This window comes from Homo sapiens, chromosome 7 (assembly GCF_000001405.40).
Source record: "Homo sapiens chromosome 7, GRCh38.p14 Primary Assembly".
NCBI classification, from domain to species: Eukaryota; Metazoa; Chordata; class Mammalia; order Primates; family Hominidae; genus Homo; species Homo sapiens.
Genome location: NC_000007.14, coordinates 91,870,179 through 91,895,013, shown reverse-complemented (window position 1 = coordinate 91,895,013; position 24,835 = coordinate 91,870,179). Strand labels below are relative to the sequence as shown.

The following is a 24,835-nucleotide window of genomic DNA, read 5'->3' as shown; positions in this document are numbered from 1 at the left end:
TTATACAAATGAACTGGCACTTAATCTTCTAGAATGATTGTAATAACACATATCCCCAGGAGAAGAATGTCTTTGTTTCCTGGATCTTGGAGTCCTACAACATATGGTCTGACAGATTTTAAGCTCCAAGTAGCTATTTTTAGACATGATGGCTCTTTACCCTTATCTTTTAATAAAAGAAAAAGTATTTGTTGAGCAGATACTCACTTTCACAATATCATTTTAGCTAGAAAGCAAGTGGCTTTGTCAGTCTAGAAAGTTTGGTGAGATGAATAATTTAGTCTGTAGGAATAATATGTCTAGGGAAGAAATTTAAGTAGGGGTTTAAATAATGCAGCTAATTAATTAAATGATTTTAGGATACTTGATTCATAATGGCTAATTTGAATATGTACTAAAAATACATACAGATCACAAATCATGATTGCATTATTTTCAAGGGCAATACAGAACATACACTTCACTGCATAATAGAAAAAAATTAATTGTTTATGTGCTTTCAACATTTGATTTTTTTTTTTTTTTTGGTCTTCTGCTAATGTTCACAGAGGATCACACTGCCTGGTCAAAATAGAGAACAGAATCAAGGTTAGGTTTATATTTAATGTCAGGAAAAATGAACATACTTTGGAGTACTTACTTTAATTATACAAATACTTAAAATTTAAAAGCACCTTTCTGAGAATAGTTCCAGGCATGATAATAGGAACTGCTTCGACAAATTCTCATAGTAATTAATGGGTTCACTGGTGCTGTGTCTTAGTGCTTGGCACTAAGAACATCATATATGGCAGATTCTGCTAGGGCAAACAAGAGAATAACTCCCTATACCTCACTGATGGCTGGGAAGTCATCAGTCTTTTTTGTTGTTGTTGTTGAGACAGAATCTCATTCTGTTGCCCAGACTGGAGTGCAGTGGTGTGATCTGGGCTTATCACAACCTCCGTCTCCCAGGCTCAAGCGATTCTCCTGCCTCAGCCTTCCGAGTAGCTGGGATTACAGGTATGTGCCACTACTGTCCAGCTAATTTTTGCATTTTAGTAGAGATGGGGTTTCACCATATTGGCTAGGCTGGTCTTGAACTCCTGACCTCAAATGATCCACCCGCCTCAGCCTCCTAAAGTGCTTGGATTACAGGCATGAGCCACTGCACCCGGCCAGTCATCAGTCTTATCCACAGAAACATATGCTATTAAAGTCTGCCTTCATATGCATTCCTCTCCTTTGGCAAACCTTAAAAACAATTCCCTCTGACACTGGCAAAGTGGATTTCTTAGTTAATGTGGTGCCCAGCATGCTGTTAGGCATATTCATGCAGTCCTCAATTTACAGATGAGCTGGGTTCCAAAACTTTGGTACTTAGAGTAGAATTTCCAATTTAAACAGTGTTACAGATGGTGCTAATGTTCTGAGAATAACCCACACCAATGAAGTGTTGTTAAAAAAAAAAAAAGCAGAAAAAACAGTGAAAAAAAAAAGATTGCCAAACAAGTATCAAATAATAGTACTTTTATGGACACTAGATGTTCTTTATTTTCATATCAAAATTCCATGTTTAAAAAATTTAGTTTTCTTTTTCTTTGGTTTAAATAAACCACTGATATTCCAATGTATATGGGGTTCCAAGAAAAAGGAAAAAAATAACATTTATACCAGTCTTATGCTTAGACATGAATACAGTCAGCATTGGGGGAGAGGTTTGTAAACATGAATCAAAGGAGAGGAGAGGATTCTGGAATTAACTAGGTACAAGTTAAAAGAGGGAGAAGAAAGGGAAGGGGATTAAAGATGAGTCATCTGTGGGAAAGAGATTATTAAGGTATCACTAAAGAGGTATGTAGTGAAATAAAGAGAAATATTTGGCAGCTTGACATAAAGCATGGCTGAAGAGATGTTTGGTCAGATGATTTCCTATGCATGCTTGTCACTAAGTGACACTATTTACTCAGTACAAGTTTGTTAAAATGTTGAGAGTAGGGGATGGGGGCAGAAAGAAGTGGGAGGGCATTAAACACCTGCCATTTTGTCTGCCCAGCAACTCTTTCTCCTTTTATCACTCACGTTCCTTTGGGGGAGAGGCTTAGTCACAATGAACAACAACAGCCTGTAATTACTGCAACTGGGAGTCCAGGCCACTGTGGGATTAAGCTCTGAGAGTTGAGCCGCTGAGCTGCTGGCCTAAGAATCCTTGAATACTCCCTGGCTGAGATCAGAATTGACCCCAGAATCCAGAGTAAGGGCTTAACCAGCAGGTAAAAATTAAGCAACTCTGGTTTCAAAGGTGCAGTAGTTCTCAATTCTGGCTATATATTAGAATAATCTGCTGGAAATTAAAAAGAAAAACAATGAAAATCAGACCAATATCTGGGCCTCATGTCAAACCCATTAAATCAGAATCTCTGGGGGTGAACAGCTGGGCTTCTGTATGTTTACAAAGCTCCCTAGGTGATGTTAATAGAAGCTAGGATTGAGAACCACAGGATATGAAGTATACAGAGGTGAAAGAGTCAAGCATCCACCTCATGGGTAAAAGTGAAGAAGGAAGCTGTACAGGCAGTTCTGGAGAAGGGGAAACCGCGTTTGGCTGGTGTGGCTAGTGTCAAGTGGGATCTGGAGGGCACTGGTTAGTACGTATTGGAGTTAGTAGAGCAATGAGGAAGGCTGGCAGGGGGCAGTGCAATAAAGTAAGGCTTCCTATTCTTCATTATTTTGCTTTGAGGCAGCCCTGTATTATTCACTCCTCAGTGGTTATATGACAAGCAGTACTTGTCTCCTCTTCAAGTGCCTAGCAAGGGCAGTAGTCATTTAAAATGTATCAGAGTTTACTCTTTTTGCACTTAGGAGGGGAGGAAGTATGAGCCATCTTCTTGTAATAAAAAATCTACCACTTAGGTACAATGTGAGCAAATCTCCCACTAAATAGAATCTTAGAATTTTAGAGCTGGAAGGGGCCTTCGATATCACTTGGTTCACCTTTTTCTTTCAGACTGTAAATATCTCCACTAGACTTGCCAAAAGTAGGAGGTATTTCTTATATTTCATGGTTTCTCTGGCACCCACATGGAGGATATTATATAAGCAATGATATAATGGTGGATATTATATGACCAATAAAATAATTTTCAGATGAGGAATCTGAGTTCCAGAGTCAATAAATTAGTAGGCTCATCCATTCATTCATTCATATAATACTAGTAAAAACAGAAAGCTTTAGATATTCATGAATAAAATGACATAATGACATGTTAGTTAGAAATATAAGAGGTTAGAGTGTTTCTGATGCTCTTATGCAAGTAAATTTAATCCAGCTAACATATTGATACCTTACTAGGGAAGGCACTGCATTATGTTCTATAAAGGTTAGTAGGGTATATTTATTAGGGCCCAAGCTCTGGATTTAGATAGCCTGGGTTCAATTTCTGGTTCCTATTTCCTAGCTGTGTGATACGGGGCTATTTATTTAACCTCTTTGTGACTCCCTTTTCTGCACTGTAAAACGGGGATAATAAAAGCTGCCTTGCAGGGAAAGTAGTACTTCACACATAATAAATCCTTAAAAAATATTAACTATTACTAAATACAATATTATCTGCTATTTTAAATCCCCACTATCCACTAACAAGGGTAAGGCCTATTACCTAGATGAAACTTTATTTTGCTGAGCCTCATACTGGGTTTGGGGGTGCCAGTGTGAAGATGAGGCTAGGGCACAGCTGAATTGGGACAAAATAATGGGGAGTCTGGAGGCCTGAGGACCAATCAGTCAGTAAGAAGAAAATGTAGGCCAGTGAGTTTAACAGGAGATCTCAATGTTGTTTTTCTGTTTGGTATGGTATGTAACCCCTTGACAAACTTGCAATGAAGTCTATATTGCTCACTAATGCTCACTAATGTTCACAGGTGATGTGGTTTACTTTAGCAGAACTCAAAGTGGTCCTAGGTTCTAGCTCCAGCAGGGAGCATGTATAGCTGGCAGAGACAGAGGATGGAGGATGTTGACACCTGTATTCCACAAAAATGGAGAAAAGTCTGTGTCCTCAAGGAATTTCTAACTGTGGAGAAGATCGATACATATGCAACAAATTAATTTTAACACATGGCAGAATGAATTCAGTGTTATAATGATTGAACAAAGTGTTACATACATACAGAATTGGGAAATATTTATTCTGATTTATACAAAAGTGGGAAAGAAGTGGATTTGGGAAGCCTTCAGGGAGAGACGATATTGCCCTGTGGGTTAAGTGACTAACAAGTAAAGATGGAGAGAAGAGGAGCAAACAAAGGACCAGGGGCAAGGAAGCGCAAGGGTGTGCTTGAGAAACGGTGAGACTACATGGTGTTAGAAAACAATGTGAACAGTTAACTCCTATCTCTACACTTTTTGCTATACAAGCCATCACTGACTGGAGATTCTGTTGCTTGCAGCTAAATACAATCCTCATAGACTGCTCAGTAACTATGTGTTGAATGAATAAATAGAGAAATGAAAAGATGATTGAATGAAAGATCAAAGACCCCCAACTCCAATTCAGGGTCTCCAGCTGCCCTGGTGGACAGTAGATGCTTTTGTCTGTCCAACCTCCCTTCCTTCATGCTAGTAATAGTGAGCTCCTATTTCCCTTAACTTCCTTTCTCCAACTCCAGATGGTTTTTCTGGAACTGCCAATTACATATCCTGCCACCTCCACCCCACCTCCAAAATAATGGGATGGTCATATGACTCAAAGAAGCTAATCGGAATATTTATTTTGGATTTGATGTTCAAAGACTAATAGTTAGAATTTCTCTCTTTCCTTTACGTTTCCAGTTAAAAGGTTGCAACCTTAGAGATACTGGTAGCCATATACCTTGTTGCACAGGAGAGCCTGAGAAAATTAGGACTACGTACAGAGAGAAGCTGAGATGAGATACAGAGAGAGCGGTGGATCTAATTTAATTCCTGGATTCAGTTGTGCCTGAGGACATCTCTGCCTTTTTCCCATAGGAGAAAATAATTGTGCTGTTTCCCTTTTTGGGTTGAGTTAGCTTGAGGTGCATTTCTGCCACCTGCAATTGAAAGAATCCTGTGTAATAGTCACTAACTAGCAACATTATTTGTTAAATAATAATTTTTACCATTTTGGACCTCAGTTTCCTTATCTATAAATAACGGGGGTTGGACAAGATATTCAATATTCCTTCAAGCTCAGTTTGCATTTTTCACACTTCTATAACAACTGGAAAGTTTGAACCAAAATATGCTTAACTAAATCCTTTTAATTTTGTTAAAAAGAAAAATAATCTATAAAGGAAAATTCTTTTTTTTTTTTAGTATTTATTGATCATTCTTGGGTGTTTCTCGGAGAGGGGTATGTGGCAGGGTCATAGGATAATAGTGGATAGAAGGTCAGCAGATAAACACGTGAACAGAGGTCTCTGGTTTTCCTAGGCAGAGGTCCCTGTGGCCTTCCGCAGTGTTTGTGTCCCTGGGTACTTGAGATTAGGGAGTGGTGATGACTCTTAACGAGCATGCTGCCTTCAAGCATCTGTTTAACAAAGCGCATCTTGCACCACCCTTAATCCATTTAACCCTGAGTTGACACAGCACATGTTTCAGAGAGCACGGGGTTGGGGGTAAGGTTATAGATTAACAGCATCCCAAAGCAGAAGAATTTTCCTTAGTACAGAACAAAATGGAGTCTCCTATGTCTACTTCTTTCTACCAGACACAGTAACAATCTGATCTCTCTTTCTTTTCCCCACATTTCCCCCTTTTCTTTTCGACAAAAGCGCCATCGTCATCATGGCCCGTTCTCGATGGTCGCTGTCTCTTCGGAGCTGTTGGGTACACCTCCCAGATGAGATGGCCGGGCAGAGGCGCTTCTCACTTCCCAGATGGGGCAGCCAGGCAGAGGCGCTCCTCACATCCCAGACGATGGGCGGCTGGGCAGAGGCGCTCCTCACATCCCAGACGATGGGCGGCTGGGCAGAGGCGCTCCTCACTTCCCAGATGATGGGCGGGCGGGCAGAGACACTCCTCACCTCCCAGACAGGGCGGCCGGGCGGAGGCGCTCCTCACCTCCCAGATGGGGCAGCCGGGCAGAGGCGCTCCTCACATCACAGATGATGGGTGGCCGGGCACAGGCGCTCCTCACTTCCCAGACGATGGGCAGCTGGGCAGAGGCGTTCCCCACTTCCCAGACGGGGCGGCCCGGCAGAGGTGCTCCTCACATCACAGATGATGGGCGGCCGGGCAGAGGCGCTCCTCACCTCCCAGACGATGGGCGGCCGGGCAGAGGTGCTCCCCACCTCCCAGACGGGGCGGCCGGGCAGAGGTGCTCCTCACCTCCCAGACGGGGCAGCCAGGCAGAGACGCTCCTCACCTCCCAGACGGGGAGGCCGGGCAGAGGTGCTCCTCACCTCCCAGACGGGGAGGCTGGGCAGAGGTGCTCCTCACTTCCCAGATGGGGCGGCTGGGCAGAGGCGCTTCTCACCTCCCAGACGAATGGCGGCCAGCCAGAGGCGCTCCTCACATCCCAGACGATGGGCGGCCGGGCAGAGGCGCTCCTCACTTCCCAGATGATGGGCGGGCGGGCAGAGACACTCCTCACCTCCCAGACGGGGCGGCCGGGCAGAGGCGCTCCTTACCTCCCAGATGGGGCAGCCAGGCAGAGGCGCTCCTCACATCACAGACGATGGGTGGCCGGGCACAGGCGCTCCTCACTTCCCAGACGATGGGCAGCCGGGCAGAGGCGCTCCCCACTTCCCAGACGGGGCGGCCGGGCAGAGGTGCTCCTCACATCACAGATGATGGGCGGCCAGGCAGAGGCGCTCCTCACTTCCCAGATGATGGGCGGCCGGGCAGAGGTGCTCCCCACCTCCCAGATGGGGCGGCCGGGCAGAGGTGCTCCCCACCTCCCAGATGGGGCGGCTGGGCAGAGGCGCTCCCCACTTCCCAGACGGGGCTGCCGGGCAGAGATGCTCCTCACTTTCCAGACGGGGCAGCTGCCGGGCAGAGGCGCTCCTCACCTCTCAGACGGGGCGGCCGGGCAGAGGCGCTCCTCACATCCCAGACAGGGTGGCGGCTGGGAAGAGGTGCTCCTCACTTTCCAGACAGGGCGGCCGGGCAGAGGTGCTCCCCACTTCCTAGACGGGGTGGCGGCTGGGCAGAGGCGCTCCCCACATCCCAGACAGGGTGGCCGGGCAGAGGCGCTCCTCACTTCCCAGACGGGGCGGCCGGGCAGAGGCGCTCCTCACATCCCAGATGGGGCGGCCGGGCAGAGGCGCTCCCCACTTCCCAGATGGGGTGGCGGCCGGGCAGAGGCGCTCCTCAGTTGCCAGATGGGGCTGCCAGTCAGAGGCGCTCCTTGCCTCCCAGGCGGGGTGGCGGCCGGGCAGAGGCGCTCCTCACATCCCAGATGGGGCGGCCGGGCAGAGGCGCTCCTCACTTCCCAGACAGGGCGGCCAGGCAGAGGCGGTCCTCACTTCCCATTTGGGGCAGCTGGGCAGAGGCACTCCTCACTTCCCAGACAGGGCGGCCGGGCAGAGGCGCTCCTCACATCCCAGATGATGGGTGGCCAGGCAGAGACGCTCCTCACTTCCTAGACGGGTTGGCGGCTGGGCAGAGGCGCTCCTCACTTCCTAGACGGGGCAGCTGGGCAGAGGGGCTCCTCATATCCCAGACGATGGGCGGTCAGGCAGAGACGCTGCTCACTTCCTAGACGGGGTGGCGGGCAGGCAGAGGCTATAATCTTAGCACTTTGGGATGCCAAGGCAGGCGGCTGGGAGGTGGAGGTTGTAGCGAGCTGAGATCACACCACTGCACTCCAGCCTGGACAACATTGAGCGTTGAGTGAGCGAGACTCCGTCTGCAATCCCAGCACCTCGGGAGGCTGAGGGGGGCAGATCACCCGAGGCCAGGAGCTGGAGACCAGCCCGGTCAACACAGTGAAACCCCGTCTCCACCAAAAATACAAAAATCAGTCAGAAGTGGTGGTGCGTGCCTGGAATCCCAGGCACTCAGCAGGCCGAGGCAGGAGAATCATGGGAGCCTGAGGCAGAGAGGTTGCAGTGAGCCGAGATCATGGCAGTACAGTCCAGGCTCGGCAAGAGAGGGAGACGTAGAAAGAGAGGGAGAGAGAGAGGGAGACAGGGAGGGGCAGGGGGAGGGGGAGGGAGAGGGAGAGGGAGAGGGAGAGGGAGAGGAGGAAAATTCTTAAATCAGGCTGAAACCTACTTTCCTTTCTTCATATCAACACTTAAGTTAGATAATCACAACAGACTTTGAGTAATATCTTCCACAACTGGAATGCAGTCATTCAAAAATGATAATAAAAGATTACTTTATAATTTAGTATATGATAAAGTAGTATTTCAAAGCAAAGGGGAAATAAATACTATTCATTAAATGATGTTAGGACAATTGACCAGCCATTCTGAAAAGAAACAAAAATAAATTTCTACTTCATTTCTCATTCCAAAATAAAATCCAGATGATTCAAAGATTTAAAGGAAAACCAAGAAAAATAATAATGAACGTACTGGAAGAAAATATATGTGCCTGAGCTTTATGAACTTGAAGTGTAAAGGACTTTTTAAGAACAAGGTGACTTCTCTATAAGCTTGAGGTGAAAAGGACTTTTTATACAATGAAGCATAATTTCAAATGCAGTATAAGCAAGGGCTTAAGAGTACAGGTTCTAGAAGCAATAGCTTGGGTTCAGATCCTGGTTTCACAAACATTAGCTTTATGATCCTGACATAATGCCATTGTTTGGATATTTGAGCCTCCAAACCTCATGTTGAAATTTGATCCTCGATGTTGGAGGTAGGGCATAATGGGAGGGATACAGGCTTGGTGCTATAATGAGTGAGTTGTCCCTCTTGGTTCCCATGAGAGCTGGTTGTTAAAAAGAGCATGGCATCCCCCATCCCTCACTTCTTCTCTTGCCACATGATCTTTGCATGCCCTTTTGCCTTTTACTGTGAGTAGAAGCAGCCTGAGGCTCTGCGTAGAAGCAAATGCTGGCACCAAGCTTCTTGTACAGCCTTGATATAGTTTGGATGTCCCCTCCAAATCCAGTGTTGAGATGTAATCCCCAGTGTTGGAGGTGGGGCCTGGAGGGAAGTGTTTGGGTCATGCGGGCAGATTCCTCATATTCTTGGTGCTGTCCTTGTAAGAGTAAGCTCTTGTGAGATCCTGTTGTTTAAAAGTGTGTGGCACCTCCTGTCTCCTGTTTGTTCCCTCTTGCCACATGAGACGCTTGCTCCCCCTTTGCCTTCCACCATGATTGTAAACTTCCTGAGGCCCTCACCAGAAGCTGAGAAGATGTCAGTGCCATGCTTCCTGTACAGCCTGCAGAACTGTGAGCCAATTGAACTTCTTTTCTTTATAAATTACTCAGCTTCAGGTAATCCTTTATAGCAACACAAAAATGGACGAAGACACACAGTCACTTAATTCATCTGAGCCTCAGTTTCATCTGCAAAACTATGATACCTGCCTCATAGGGTTGAATAAAAATATTCAATATACTCTATGGGTATATGTATATAGGCCATAGTCTGCTAAGACCTCCATTAAACTATAATGAGCTACTCACATATAACTGTAACTTAGCTTCAGTTACAGCTACACAATATGTCACCCACAATGCCTAAAATACTTAGTTTACATATTTTATTTATATTCTTTTGCTTTATATTCTTTCATATGTTCTGGAAGGATAGAAACCAAAATAATATAAATAAAATATAAATAGTGGTTATTTCTAGGTGATGGAATTATAAGTGAAATTATTATTTTTTTGCTCCTTTCTTCTTTATTTGTATTTTCTAACGTAAATTAAAGTATTATGTCTCCCCGAGTGTCAGCATAGCATTGTGAATACAGTCATAGACGCTGGAGCCTGACTTCTTAGGTTGCAATGCTGGCTCCCTTACTTACTACCTGCGTGAGCTTGGGGAAGCTACATAGTCTCTATCTCAGTTTCCCCATTTGTAAAATGGAGATAATATTACTTCCATTATACAACAAAATGAGTTAATAGAGGTGAAATGATTAGAATTGTGCATGGCAGATAGCATTACATAAATGTTTTCAAATATTATTTTTCTCTCCATGTACTTTCTCTTAAAATTCCTAGTTTTTGGATGTCTTTAATATAGTAATCAACAAATGAAGTTAGTTATATGTGAGTAGTTCACTATCGTTTTTAATGCAGGTCTTAGCACACTATGGCCCGTGGCCCAGCAGCCCCCAAGCTAAGAATGGTTTTTATACTTTTAATGGGTTGTGAAATATGGAAAGAAAAAAGAGAATTTGCAACAGAGACAGTATGTGACCCACAAAGCCTGAAATACTATTTGGTCCTTTATAGGAAAAGGTTGCTGACCTTTGGCTTAATATGCTTTCCCTTTCAAATACATTTGCAATTTTAAATCAGCACAGTTTATACCAAGGACTAAATCTCTAAAGGAGGAATTTCAAGAAACGCCTTAAATAGAAAGGAAAATAGTTTTCGACAGTGAAAATAGTATTTCATCTTGTGAATGTTTGCTCCCCTCCTCTCTGTTGAGACTAATTTTTCTACCAATGACTAAGAATCATTTCACGGTAATTAATTGAAGGTTTGGTACAGTAGGATCAAACAATCCAAAAGGTACTTAAACTCACCAGGCTAAATAGCATCTCAAATGATTATTGTGTTTCTCTTGGCCAACTCTGTCAGGCTGATCCAACTACCATGGGAATTGCTGTCATATCAGGTCTGGAATCAGCAAATTTGCTAGGCTAAGTATCCAGTTCTTTGCCACAGACCCTTGTGGTAATGAGTGTGGGAGCATGAAAGCTGACTCAGGAAGTCTTTAGGCACACTTCAGAGAAATAAAGTTGCCTGAAGTAAAATCTTTAGAAATCTTAAATTGTTAAAAAGCAATTGTGAAAAGGGGGGAAATTAAGCAATCTTTTTTATTTTTTGCCAACAAAGTGTTAACCTGAGACTCTCTGGGTAACTTTATCTACCACTTTAATTAGCCTTGAACAACTGGGAGACATTTTATGCTTTTGGCAACCAAAACAGCTGCAGGCAAGAGAATGGAATAAGGGAGTCCTGGGTAGAGACCTGATGGTCCTCTGAGGGCCCTCAAGTAAGTCACATAGGAAGCTAGCAGGTCTGTCTGTGAAGTTGATGTGGGGGTGGGGCAGGCATTTGTCTACTGAATCCAGGAGTCTGCGGGTGTTGTATCAACTGAAGGTAAGAGTGGGAGGAATGAAGGGCCACTTTCTTTTTGACCTTAATTGGGCTTGCTGAGATTCAAACATGAATGAATGGTCAATTGAGGGGCTGTGGTTTGCCAGAAATCTATTTGCATAAAGCAAGAAGGACACTTCCAGGGCAGAGGAACAGGCACATTTGGCACAGTCAAAAAATTCTTAATTATAAAAGGCAGAGGCACTTCTGAATACAGCACAGATTCTGTCTTCAGACTTGACTTTCAGCCCAGCTTCTGAGTATCTAAGTCCAACGTGTTGGGATTACAGGTGTGAATCACTACACTCAGCCACTTTATTTTTCTTAATTACATCAACTTGGTAGGGACATGGGTCTGCTATGGTCCTGGGGAAGGAGATGGAAGAGGCATGTAGAGGAGAAGACATTCAGGCTGAGAGTAAGACCTGCCACTAGAAATAAGGTCCAGGAAGGCAGGGGCTTTGTCTTGGTTTCCACTATGTCCCCTAACTTGAAAACAGGGCCTGGAATGTGAAGGTGCTGAAAAAATGTTCATTGAATAAACAAATGAAATACAGGCAAAGTATATACAGGTCCTATTGTAAAACATCATAAAGGACGATGAGGCAGTAGTCATTTCTCTTACTGGAGGTAATGACATTTCAAAAATCACTGAAGAAATACAATAAGAAAGAAACCTAATTAATTATACAACATCCTAACCCAACCATTATTACACTTCTATTGTTATACTTTCAGTATTTTATAATATGCAATTAAAATAGATTTATAATCAGAAAATTTCTGATGGGAAATATGGAACTTATTTTCAAAAGAACCAATCTGCCTTTACCGACAAAATATCACTAAAAACCAACATAGGTGATGTTACCTAAGTAAGTCTGAAATAATTATTGATAGCTAAATCAATACAACAAAGTATGTGGTATAAATCTTAGAGTTACTGGTAAAGAAAATATAAGACATGCATTCTCTTGCTAGTTCCTACTGTATGGGTTTCAGTGTTCTCATTTGTAAAATGAGAGGGCTGGGGCTCAATAATCTCAAAGGTTATTTTATTTAATTTAATCTCTAAATTTTATTTTACATGCCGATTGTAAAGCAGTTTGTGTGTGTGTATATACATAATATATAATAATATTAATTCAGACATAGGAGCTCCTTCCATGCAGAAGGAATATAGATTTTAGAAATTCACATTTTAAAAGCCATCTCCAATTTTTTGGGACTAATTTTTACCTGGAGGAATTGCAGTAAGTAGTTTACTTAATAGATAGACTGATTATTAGTATTTTAAATTCCCAAAGATAAATCTTTATCCTTCTAAACCAACAAAACAGAGAGTTAATTAAAAACAAAGTGACAACAACAACCCAACTAGGAGTAGTCAAAGGGGAAGAGTGATGGTAAAACGTAATTGGTTCATTGGCATAGAAATGGGATAAACACGCCGGGTGCGGTAGCTCACGCCTGTAATCCCAACACTTTGGGAGGCCGAGGTGGGTGGATCATGAGGTCAGGAGATCGAGACCATCCTGGCCAACATGGTGAAACCCCGTATCTACTAAAATACAAAAAAACAAAAAAACAAAAAACAAAACAAAAAAATTGCCGGGCATGGTGGCACGCGCCTGTACTCCCAGCTACTCGGGAGGCTGAGGCAGGGGAATCGCTTGAACCCGGGAGGCAGAGGTTGTAGTGAGCCGAGATCGCGCCATTGCACTCCAGCCTGGCAACAGAGTGAGACTCCGTCTAAAGGAAAAAAAAAAAAAAAAAAGAAAAAGGAGAAAGAAATGGGATAAAGAAAATTCTTTTTCTTTCTTGAGACAAGGTTCACTGTGTCACCCAGGCTAGAGTGTAGTGGCACAATCACGGCTCACTGCAGCCTCAACCTCCCAGGCTCAGGTGATTCTCCCACCTTAGCCTCCCAAGTAGCTGGGACTACAGGCACCTGTGACCACGCCTGGCTAATGTTTGTACTTTTTGTAGAGATGGGGTTTCACCATGTTGGCCAGGCTGGTCTCGAACTCCTGGCCTCAAGCCATCCTCCCGCCTTGGCCTCCCAAAGTGCTGGGATTACAGGCATGAGCCATCGCGCCCGGCCAGAAAATTACATCATTAGGCTTGTACATGGAGGAGTTAGTAATGCCTGAAATTTTTCCTCTTTGTAGAATTCAGGGTCAATCCTGTTGATCCTGTGTTTTTTTAAGGACCAAATCACCATCGTCTCCTGAGGATAACTCGACAGACACAATTAATTCATTAATGTAGATATTATCTTTCTTTTGATGGTCACAGGAGAAGTGCCTTGAATTGAAGCTTTATCTCTTCCATTGTCACCATCACTAGGCAGGTGAGGCTGACAGGACCGCGTGGCTTAAGGCAACGCCTCGGGAGGGAGCAAAAATGCATCCACTGTGGAGATGAGGTTTCGGTTGCCTCCATTCTTTAAATAGCGCAAACCCTCACAATGTCAAAAGAATCATATTTGAATTCGAACTGCAAGTAAGGAAATCGAAGTATACTAGAATTGATTTCCAGCCTGAAGGCGGATGCTGAATTCAGACCAGCAGTGACACTCCAGGATTTCCACGGTAGTTCATTAAAGGAGGAGAATCTGGGACTAAACAGACAGAGTCTACACCCGCTTATCCTGCACCAAAAAACGCCGAGATGTTCATCGGCATCGCGTTAGTCACATTAGCAGCAGCAATCGCATTATCAAAAACTGCAACACGCATGTAAATAATAGCTACTTTTCCACCACGTGTCGTCGGCCGGCAGTGGATGCCCCCTGTAGGATCCCTATAAGATGCCTTACAGTTCCCCACGGACATCTGCCCAGGCGACTGGGAGTCCCAGGCCCCACCCCACCCTCCAAACCCCTTCTTTGGCGTTCAATACCCCGCGCTCACCGCGGTCTCTTGCTGCCCCCTGCCAGGCCCCTAGCGTCGGGCTGCGAAGGGCTGAAGTACCGCCACGAGGGGGCGCAGGACCAACGACATCACCTCTGCGCGCGACCCGAGGCCGGAAGTTAGTCTTTTCCACTTCCGCTCCTCCTAGCCGCTCCGGACCCCAGAGGCGGAAGTAAAAGCGAACTACAGTGGATGGGTGCAGTTCAGGGTGAGATTGGGAAGGTGGTGAGGCTGTGCTTTCCTTTCTTTTTGTTAAGAAGTGGGTGTGGGTGACTGCTGTACAGTGCAGCCCTTTGCAGATTTGTCTTTGGAGGAGGAAGAGGGATGGAAAGAGCCTTCGGTGTGGAATTACCTTGGTTTTGAGTTAAGAAAGACCCACCTGGGTTCGAACCCTAATGCTTCAGCTAGCGAAGGCAGGCTAGTATGGGAGCTCGGCGCTGTTTCAGATTTTGTAATTTTAAGGCTTATGCCTACCTTTTAAATTGTTGTGGGGAGTAAAGCGAGACAATATATATGAAGCACTTAGCTTTGGTACAAAACGTATTCGTGATTCCGCTACCTTTTCCCATCATATGTAGGCATGTACTTGCCGTTTTCTTTTCTGTATGTCTGAGAAATGTTGTTTGCAAGAGGTAATGCATCTCACGAGAACATAATGCAACGAGAACGTTAGCTGGGATCGATCTCTTATTTTGTATTAGGAAGGCCTGAAATATTTTGCCTTTTTTTTGTGTGTGTGTGTCATTTCCAGAGATAGCTGTTCTCCAGCCTTTCTGGAGGGATGCAGAGCCTTTCCTTAGGACAAACAAGGTGAGAAATGCATGTAAAGATCTCCAAACTTAGCTTGCTGTATCAAAAGAAGACCAGCTGGAATGTGGTATTTTAGGGCCAGTGATTAGTTATTTCCATTAACAGCCTTTTTAACAGGCCAGTTGTGGGGCAGAGGCGAACGTAAATCTTTTTTTAGACCCCTCATACTACAAGCATAGAAATTTTCAGTGTTTGTTAAGTTTGAACATTAGCCCTTTGGATAATGGTTTTGGTTAATTAAAAAGTCAATTTGAGAAATAGATCGAAGTCAATTTTTGAATAGGTACCATTTTTGAAATTTGTACGTGAGGAAAGTTGCTAACTTTCTTGTATTAGGCTATTTAGATGTTCATTTACCCTACTAGATATTATGAGTATTTTGAATGGAGATCCGTTGCTAAGAGTAAAGCATCATGGAGAATTTTGAAGTGTGACTTTTTTGGTACTAGAAACCGAAAAATAGATAAAGATAATTTGTATTTTCCATTGTTTTTCACACCAAAGGCCAGTTTTACTTGTTTAAATTTTTTCATCTGACTGCAAAGTAACACATATTCATTAAATAAAGTCCCAGTATTTCAGAAGTAGTACATAGCCTCTAATAATCTTTCAGAAATAAGTGTCATTCCACTTTCCCCCTCTGTATATATTAACGTCCCCCTCCCCGCCTTTAATATACATGGCATTATCCATACTGTTAAGCAGTTTGTCATGTAGAATATCTGACATCTTTTGATTGCAGTAGATCGGCCTTTATTTTTGGCACCTTTATAGTATATTGCATAGATGTACCACAATTTATTAATTATTCTATTGGTGGCCATTTGGGTTTCTTCTTCTTTGTTATAGCAAATAATGTTATGATGGTCATCCTTTTTCTTTCTTTCTTTTTCTTCTATTTTCTTTTTTTATGAGACAGATTCTTGCTCTGTTGCCCAGACTGGAGTGCAGTGGTGCAATCTCAGCTCACTACAACCTCCGCCTCCCAGGTTTAAGCAGTTATTGTGCCTTAGCCACCTGAGTAGCTGGGATTAGAGACATATATCACCATGCCTGGCTAATTTTAGTATTTTTAGTAGAGATGGGGTTTCGTCATGTTGGCCAGGCTGATCTCAAACTCCTGGCCAACATCTCAAAGTGGTGAGATTATAGGTGTGAAGCCACTGTGCTTGGCCTAGTCATCCTTTTTCATAACAAACACATATTGTCTTTTTTTCTTTTTGAGATGGGCTCACTCTGTCATCCAGGCTGGGGTGCAGTGGCTAGATTATGGCTCACTGCAGTCTGGATCTCCTGGGCTCAAGCAGTCCTCCTACCTCAGCCTTCTGAGCAGCTGGGACTATAGGTGTGTGCTGTTACAGTTGGCTAATGTTTTGATTTTTTGTAGAATAAGGGTCTCACTTTGTTGTCCAGGCTGGTCTCAAACTCCTGGGTTTAAGCAATCCTCCCACCTTGGCTTTCCAAAATGCTGGCATTACAGGTGTGAGCCGCTGCCCCTGGCCCTTTTTTCCCCCTTTGGATAATCTCCAAGAAGTGGAAATGCTGAATTAAAGGCTATGAACATTTAAAATTGTGGCAGCTGGTGCCAAATTCTGGTCCATTAACAATATTTGAGAATTTCCTCTGTTTCCTCATATGTTCATTAACAGTCAATATTATTAATTACTGTTTCTAAGTTTAGCTGAGACCACACATGTCATTTTTAGAGTAAATTTACTGCATTTTAGTATTGTAATCAAGACCAAATTTCTAGGTTTAGCTGAGACCACACATGTCATTTTTAGATGTCATTTTTAGAGTAAATTTATTGCATTTTAGTATTGTAATCAAGACCAAATTTCAGTTGCCAGTTGTAAGTCCATTTCAGCTCTTGTTTTCTATAAATAGAAAGCTTAGTTTTAGATTCCTTAGTAATAAATTATCATAAAACAAATGGTTGATTTCAGTGGTTAGTATTTTAAAGTAAGTTAAGGATTTGAGGGAAGATTATATTTGAATGGGACCTTGTCCTATGGATAGGCATCAGGAGGATGGGCCTTTCTAAAAGAAAGAACAGCTTAAGCAAAGGTAGGGAGACAGGAATGGGCAAGGATGTTTGGGATCAGAGGTTTGAGAGGCGATAGTGCTAGGTATTGAGGTGGTACAATAGAAGAGATAGCTAGAAAGGTAGTTAGAAGTAGATGGTAAGGTAGTTAGCTAACTGAAAAGGTAGCTAGAAAAAGATCACTTTGAAGATTTTGTTTTTTCGGGGAGAGCTACAGAAGGTCTTTAATCAGAGAATGAGGGACATAATCACATCATTTTACAAATGTCAGTATGGTGGCAGTTTCGAGTGATGGATGTCAGAGAAGCACATCAGGTGGCTGTTACAGGCTGGGTAAAAGAGAATGAAGACTTGTAACAGAATGAGAATTACAAAGAGTAGCGAGGTTGGATTTCAGAGAGATGCCAAAGAAGTTGAGTCTACGTGATTTGATGACTGGAGTTGAGGAAGAGGAAGAAAGCAAAGCTCACTTTTAGATTTTTATCACAAATGACTCTTAGATAGTGATTGTGATAATGATATCTTTAGTCAGAAGAGGGCAAATTTGGGGACTGGGAAAGATACTCAAGTTTGGGGCATGTTAAGTTTGTGTGGAAGAAACTTCCATGGAGGATGAGTTATACACAAGACATGAAATTTACTTGTGACAGATTTAGAAGAAACGTTTATAGATTTGTTACTTTTTGTTAGGAATTTTGGCTTACATTTTCACCTATTTTTAGTTTGTTATTAATAGAATTTCTGTTGAACATTCTGTGGCTTATTCAGCCTGTTTACCATGATGCTAATAGTCCTAAGAAAGTGCACTGTCTAGTAGTCTTCACACTTTTTTGATTGTGTACATTGTCAATAGAAATATGCCTACAATATATGTACATTTGTTTATTGATTATATATGTCTTACAGTACAATCATATTGTTTATATTATAAAACATATGTAGAAAGAATTTTTCAAAGGCTAAGACAAATACAAATTGTAGTTTTAACTATTTTCTTCCTCCATCCCATTGTATCATCTTGGACCTCTCTAGAAAGTACTGATCTGATTTCCAGCTGACGCATTCTGCCCCTTTATTCCAGTAGAGGTCAGTCGAGCATCTGGAAGAGAAAACAGGCTGTTGAACTATGCAAGGTAGAGCCGTCATTCTTCAGTTAGAAGGATAATTATATTTTAAAGTTTCTAAATTCATGCATTTTTGGAAGAGTAATTACAGAGTAGTATGTGGTATTACGGAGAAGTGAAGAATAGTGAGCTCAGTAGAGTATGGATCAATCTGAAATGTGCTTTTGTTGTTTGATGTTTATGTTGTGAGTACCTTGCATTTGGCTTTGAACATTACTTGATTCTGTAGTTTTGGGATCTTTTCCCAATTCTGTGAGAATCTGTAGATTATGTGAGCCACAGGAATGTTCCCTGCCTGTAGGCATAATCAAGTTCTAGTTAAAATTGGAGTAATTGAAAGGACAGACACAAAGAGGCTTTCTTTGAAATTGATCTTGAAAGCAGTATCTTTAGCCCAAAGAGGTTAGTAGTGGGTTGGAATTATCTATCTCTATTTTCTGTTTTATGCTTAATTAGGAGAAGGAGAAAAAAGAAATGCCTTTTCTAAGTAAGAGCCCATTGTAAGTAATTAGAAATCAAGCACGAACTTGTTACAGCTATATATTCTAAAAAGGCAAAAGTACAGTTTAAAAAATATATATGTACTGTTATATGACTCAGGCACAAGTAGCTTAGAAACAAATCATCAGATAGGTTGAATAACAGAACACTTTTTCTGTTGCTTTCCTCATAAAATATTTCTTATAAATAGAGATGCTCATTTTAGTAGGGACCTATGGTTATGATTATAAATAAGTTTGTATGTTTTGAGCCCCATTTCCAAATGATCAGGAAAATGAGTTATTGAGGTTTTAGTCACATGCTAGAAGCTGCAAGTTGAAAGTGTTGTGTAACAGATGCAAACAGCCCAGAATTAGTCTTGTGTAATATGGTGATGGAGAAGGGGAGAATGGTAAAGGTAACGTTTTAATGTTTACATGCCATCTTTCAGCACAGTTTCACATGTGGCGGGCCATGTGGATTTAATATCACAACTAGATCATTTTGAAGATGAAAATTGGTTTGGAATTATTGGGTTACAACGTAGGGAATGATAGGGTAAACCAAATGAGATGGAGATTGTGATCAAGAGCTGTTGACTAGAGGTCTATATAAGCTAAGAAAAATTAAGGCTTTAATGGTAGCATGGATATAAAGGGTAGCAGGAATTTAGGAAAAGATGTTCAAGATGGAAATTAATCTGAGGTGTTGGTTTTCAGGGCTAGATTTAGAGTTTGAAAACCAGGAGGCCAGAGGCAAAGAAATCTAGTATCTATGGGCAGGGCAAGGTCGAAGACCTGGAAAATTGAAATATGAGGCAGAAATGAAAGTGTCATTATAAGAAATAAGCCACGCCTGGCATGGTGGCTCACACCTGTAATCCCAGCACTTTGGGAGGCCAAGGCAGGCAGATCACTTGAGCCCAGGAGTTTGAGACCAGTCTGGGTGACATAGTGAAACACTGTCTCTACAAAAAATAAAAATAAAAAATCAGCTGGGCGTGTGGGGCATTCCTGTGGTCCCAACTACTCAGGTGGTTGAGGTGGAAGCATCACCTGAGCCCAGGGAGGTGAGGCTGCAACGAGCCATGATAGTGCTGCTGCACTCCAAGCCTGGGTGACAGAGTGAGACCCTGTGTCAAAAAAAAAAAGTTTGGAAATCAGGAGGACAAAGCAGAGATGGAGAGGGTCAACTGATTTTAGGTAGCCAAGGCAGGCAAAGGTAAACAAAAAGAGCAAGAAAAAAGCAAGAACAATTCTGGGGCACTAATGGTGCCCCACCTGCTTTTCTTTAGGTTAACAATGGAAGCAGTCCTGTGCTTACAGGTAACAGAAGCAGTGAGCTAGGGAGAGACAGTTATATATGTACATTTGTTTATTGATTATATATGTCTTACAGTACAATCATATTGTTTATATTATAAAACATGTAGAATTTTTCAAAGGCTAAGACAAATATAAATTGTAGTTTTACTATTTATTTAATAATTCAGCAGTGGCTGAATTATTAACACAGTTCTGGAGAGCTGGAGCTGAAGGTATATTCTCATAGAAATGACCATGATGCTTATAGGATTGTAATATGGTCATTTAGTTGTTTAACACATGCATTTGTGTAATATTTTATGTGTTGTTTTACACAGCATTTCAAAAGGTTTGAACTACCTAACCATTATGGCACCAGGAAACCTCTGGCATATGAGAAATAACTTTCTCTTTGGTTCAAGATGTTGGATGACTCGATTTTCAGCAGAAAACATCTTCAAATCAGTTTCATTTAGGCTTTTTGGTGTGAAGTGTCATAATACAGACAGTGAGCCTTTGAAAAATGAGGACCTACTGAAAAACTTACTTACTATGGGAGTAGATATTGACATGGCAAGGAAACGACAGCCTGGAGTTTTTCATAGGATGATTACCAATGAGCAGGACCTGAAGATGTTCCTTCTTTCCAAAGGAGCTAGCAAAGAAGTGATCGCTAGCATCATATCAAGATATCCACGAGCAATAACACGTACTCCCGAGAATCTTTCAAAACGGTGGGATCTGTGGAGAAAGATTGTGACATCAGACCTTGAAATTGTAAATATTTTGGAACGTTCTCCTGAATCCTTTTTTCGGTCCAATAACAACCTAAACTTAGAGAATAATATAAAGTTCCTCTACTCAGTTGGATTGACCCGTAAATGCCTTTGTCGATTGTTGACCAATGCCCCTCGTACCTTCTCCAATAGTCTTGATCTGAATAAACAGATGGTTGAATTTTTGCAGGCAGCCGGTTTGTCATTGGGTCACAATGATCCCGCAGATTTTGTCAGAAAGATAATTTTTAAAAACCCTTTTATCTTAATTCAGAGCACCAAGCGGGTGAAAGCTAACATTGAATTCTTACGGTCAACTTTCAATTTGAACAGTGAGGAACTGCTGGTTCTGATATGTGGTCCAGGAGCTGAAATCCTAGACCTTTCCAATGACTATGCCAGAAGAAGCTACGCAAACATCAAAGAGAAGCTGTTTTCTCTTGGATGTACTGAAGAAGAGGTACAGAAGTTTGTCTTAAGCTATCCAGATGTGATCTTCTTGGCAGAGAAAAAGTTTAATGATAAAATAGACTGCCTCATGGAAGAAAACATTAGCATTTCACAAATAATCGAAAATCCTCGGGTTCTGGATTCAAGCATAAGTACTTTAAAAAGTCGAATCAAAGAATTGGTAAATGCTGGCTGTAACTTGAGTACTTTAAACATCACTCTTCTATCTTGGAGTAAAAAAAGATATGAAGCTAAATTGAAAAAGTTAAGCAGATTTGCCTAAGGATGCCAATGTTTTTAATTCTCAGGAACTGTGAATATGTTATGCCACATTGCAAAAGAATTTTGCAGAAGTGATTAATTTAAAATGTTATTAAGGGCCTTGAGATGGGGAGATTATCCTGAATTACTTTGGAGGGCCTAATATAATTGTAGGGATCTTTAAAAGTTGAAGAGGGAGGCAAAAGAGGAGGTCAGAGTGATCCTGTATAAGAAAGACAACTACTTTTGAAGGAAGTTAAAAGGTGGCTTTGAAGGAGGAAGACACCTTGAGCCAAGGAATGAAGGGGGCCTGTAAAAAAAGATTGAAAAGGCAAGGAAACAGATTCTCCATTAGAGTCCCCAGAAAGGAATGCAGCCTTGCTGGCACCTTTTTAGCCCAGTGAGATCAATGTCAAACTTCTGACCCACAGAACCATAAGATGGTAAATTTGTGTTGTTTTAAACCACTGAGTCAGTGATAATTTGCTGAAGAAGCAAATAGATTAACATAGCAACTAAGTAGATGATTAGTTGCATTATAGGTGAAGTCAAAAATACAGTCCTTTAGTAAAGTCTCTATTTCTTCCTTTTATAAGAGTAATTATATTTAAAAAATCTACCTACCCTTCTGGAATTGCTAATGTTAGTGTTTATAAAGTCTTAAATGTGTGCATAAAAAACTAAATGTGAATATAAAATCTAAATAAAGGAATATGTTTGCCTAATATAGTTTAAGGAAATGATAATCATTTCTGTGCATTTTGTTGGCATTTCAGCTAATATTAAAGAGTAATTTTCAGAGGCATTGACTTAAAAAATGGCAAATCAGATAATGTCGGTATTTTCAAGATACAATCTAGCTCTGACATAAACTGAAAGACGTGAGACAAATTATATGACCTTAATTTTAATTGTTTTCCAGAGGCATTTGTTTTCTAGATGTGGTTTTTGAATTAAATAACATAATGGTGCTCAACCTTTTAAACCTCATTTGCTATCAGTGATACTTCAAAAAACCTTATTCCTACTATTGATAAAAACAATATGTCTGCTTTTCTAAGGCCATTTATATATTCAACGATACTCCTATTATAATTTGGTTAACTATTTGATGGCAAGCATGGCATAGTTTAGAAAGCAAGAGCTTTAGAGTGATGTATCTGGGCACCATTCCTGAGTAACTTGTGTTAATGTTTTAAATTTACTAAACCTGTTTTTCTCATCTGTAACACCAGAAATTGACCTTCCAGAGTTGGTAGGAATCAAATGAAAAAGCACCTCTAAGGTTTCTTGCACATAGTAATGATGCAATCAGTGATAGCTATAATAAAAAGATAGTATTTTAAAAAGCAGCTTTATACATAATTCACATATTCAATTTACCTATTTAAAGTCTAACACAGTTCAATTTATATATAGAGTTGTGCAACTTTATCTTCCATTGCTTATAATACATTTATAATTTATTGGAAAATTTATAAGGAAAATGAATTTCTTACAGTTATGGAAGCTGAGAAATCCTAGGTTGAGGGGCCACATCTGGTGAGAGCCTTCTTGCTGGTGGGGACTCTGAAGAGTCCTGAGGCGGCACAGTGTATCACATGGCGATTGCTAATGTACTTAGGTCTCTTTTCCTCTTATAAAGCCACCAGTCCACTCCCATGATAGCCTATTAATTCATTAATCCATGAATAGATTAATCAATTTCTGATGACATAGCCCTTATGATCCAGTCACCTCTTAAAGGCCCCACCTCTCAATACTGCCACATTGGGGATTAAATTTCAACATGAGTTTTGGAGGGGATGGATAGTCAAACCATAGCAGCAACCATCACCACAATCTAGTTTTAGAATATGTTTGCAGTCCTAACAGAAACCTTGTACCTGTTAGTGAATCCCCATTATTTCCCTCCATTTGTTCCCCCAAGCCTAAGCAAAAATGAATCTGTTTTCTGTGTCTATAAATTTGTTTATTCTGAGCATTTCATATAAATGGAATCATACAGTATGGTCTTTTGTGACTGGCTTCTTTCACTTAGCATATTTTCAAGGTTCATCCATGTAGCACATATTAGTATTTCATTTTTTTTGGCAAGTAATATTCCATTGTATGGGTACAGTAGTATTGGGAATACATTTTACTGTTATGGCTTAAAGTATTGATTTCTTAAGTCTTCTGAATTGTACGCGAGTGTTTTCTGAGGTATTGTTTTGGAATCTAACAAGCTCATAAGGGACTTGAAGGAGGTGGGTAGAAGAGATAATAGTTTATTGACATCAGCAGATCATAGGATTGTAGCTGGGCTGATGAGAAATGGTATAGCAACGATAGTTGCAAGTGGCCAGAGAGAATGTGGGTTGCACTGAAGTACAGTACAGCACTTGATCATTGGGCAGTAGGGGATGGGGGAAGGAAAACTTTGGAGAAACAAACAGATAATGCCTGTCAGGCAAAATTAACATGTCATACTTTAAGGTTTGAGTCTGATCAAGGGAGAGTCAATTCTTTTTTTTTAAAGATAGAATTATAGAAATATTGGCCAGCCATGTAATCCCAGCTCACGCCTGTAATCCCAGCAATTTGGGAGGCCGAGGTGGGAGGATTGCTTGAGCCCAGGAGTTCAAGACCAGCCTGGGTAATACTAGCAAGATATCATTGCTAGTAGGGAAAAAAAAAAAAAAAAAAAGGCCGGCCATAGTGGTGCGCACCTCTAGTCCTAGCTATTCAGAGGCTGAGGTGGAAGGATCCCTTGAGCTCAGAAGTTTGAGATTGCAGTGAGCTACAACTGTGCCACTGAACTCCAGCATGGGCAAGGGTGAGACCCTGTCTCAAAAAATAAATTACAGAAATCTTCAGTAATATTTTGTCATGAGTGAAAAAATCCATGTTTATGATGGGAAAAGATAGAAAATAAACCCCCCAAAAGAAAATAACTATAATCTTATCTCTCAGAGATCATTAACATTTTGGTGACTCTTCCTATTGTTTTTGTTGGTAGACATATCCATACGTGCATGTAATATGAGTAGATGAGTGGCATATATGTTTGAAACCAAACTATTTTATAATTTTTTTAGTGTAATAGATCCTGAACATACTAAGTATTCTTTAGTAACTAATTACAAAATCAAGTATTTACCTATAACATGATTTTTTAATGGCTGCATGAAATTCTGTTCTTTGGATAAACCATAATTTGTCACCATTGGTCAGAGTGAGTAAATTTTAGTACATTAGCAATTTTTTGAAAATCCTACCTAGATTATTTCAGTATTCCGTAGTGTTAATGCATACCACCATGTTTTAATCGTTGGTATATTTTATAACTTAAAATTTTGGTCTAGAAAATATAAATATTAAGAGTGCTGCATTTTGCCGTTCTCCAAATGTCAGATGGATCTGTAAAACTTCATTTTTAATGGAAACCATTCTAA

The 24,835-nt window shown here is 41.3% G+C and overlaps 1 protein-coding gene and 1 long non-coding RNA gene across 7 annotated transcripts; one reads left to right on the top strand and one right to left on the bottom strand.

Moving 5' to 3' along the window:
- Positions 1–8,533: 8,533 nt before the first annotated feature.
- LOC112267986 (uncharacterized) lies at positions 8,534–14,212 on the bottom strand. Its single transcript, XR_002956514.2, has 2 exons — positions 14,150–14,212; positions 8,534–9,398 (listed from the first exon to the last, which is right to left on the bottom strand). It is a non-coding gene; the product is annotated as an uncharacterized LOC112267986 (long non-coding RNA).
- Positions 14,213–14,311: 99 nt separating this feature from the next.
- On the top strand, positions 14,312–24,085 carry MTERF1 (mitochondrial transcription termination factor 1). Of its 6 annotated transcripts, none has more exons than NM_001301135.2 (4): positions 14,312–14,357; positions 14,901–14,959; positions 18,036–18,136; positions 20,250–24,085. In NM_001301135.2, exon 4 carries the CDS (start codon positions 20,281–20,283, stop codon positions 21,418–21,420), a length of 1,140 nt encoding a protein of 379 aa, NP_001288064.1. In that variant the 5' UTR covers positions 14,312–14,357; positions 14,901–14,959; positions 18,036–18,136; positions 20,250–20,280; the 3' UTR covers positions 21,421–24,085. The 6 variants fall into 6 exon arrangements, with proteins under 6 accessions (NP_001288064.1, XP_047276795.1, NP_008911.1 ...); XM_047420839.1 differs by having other exon boundaries at positions 14,312–14,374; NM_006980.5 differs by lacking the exon at positions 18,036–18,136.
- The last annotated feature ends 750 nt before the right edge of the window (positions 24,086–24,835 follow it).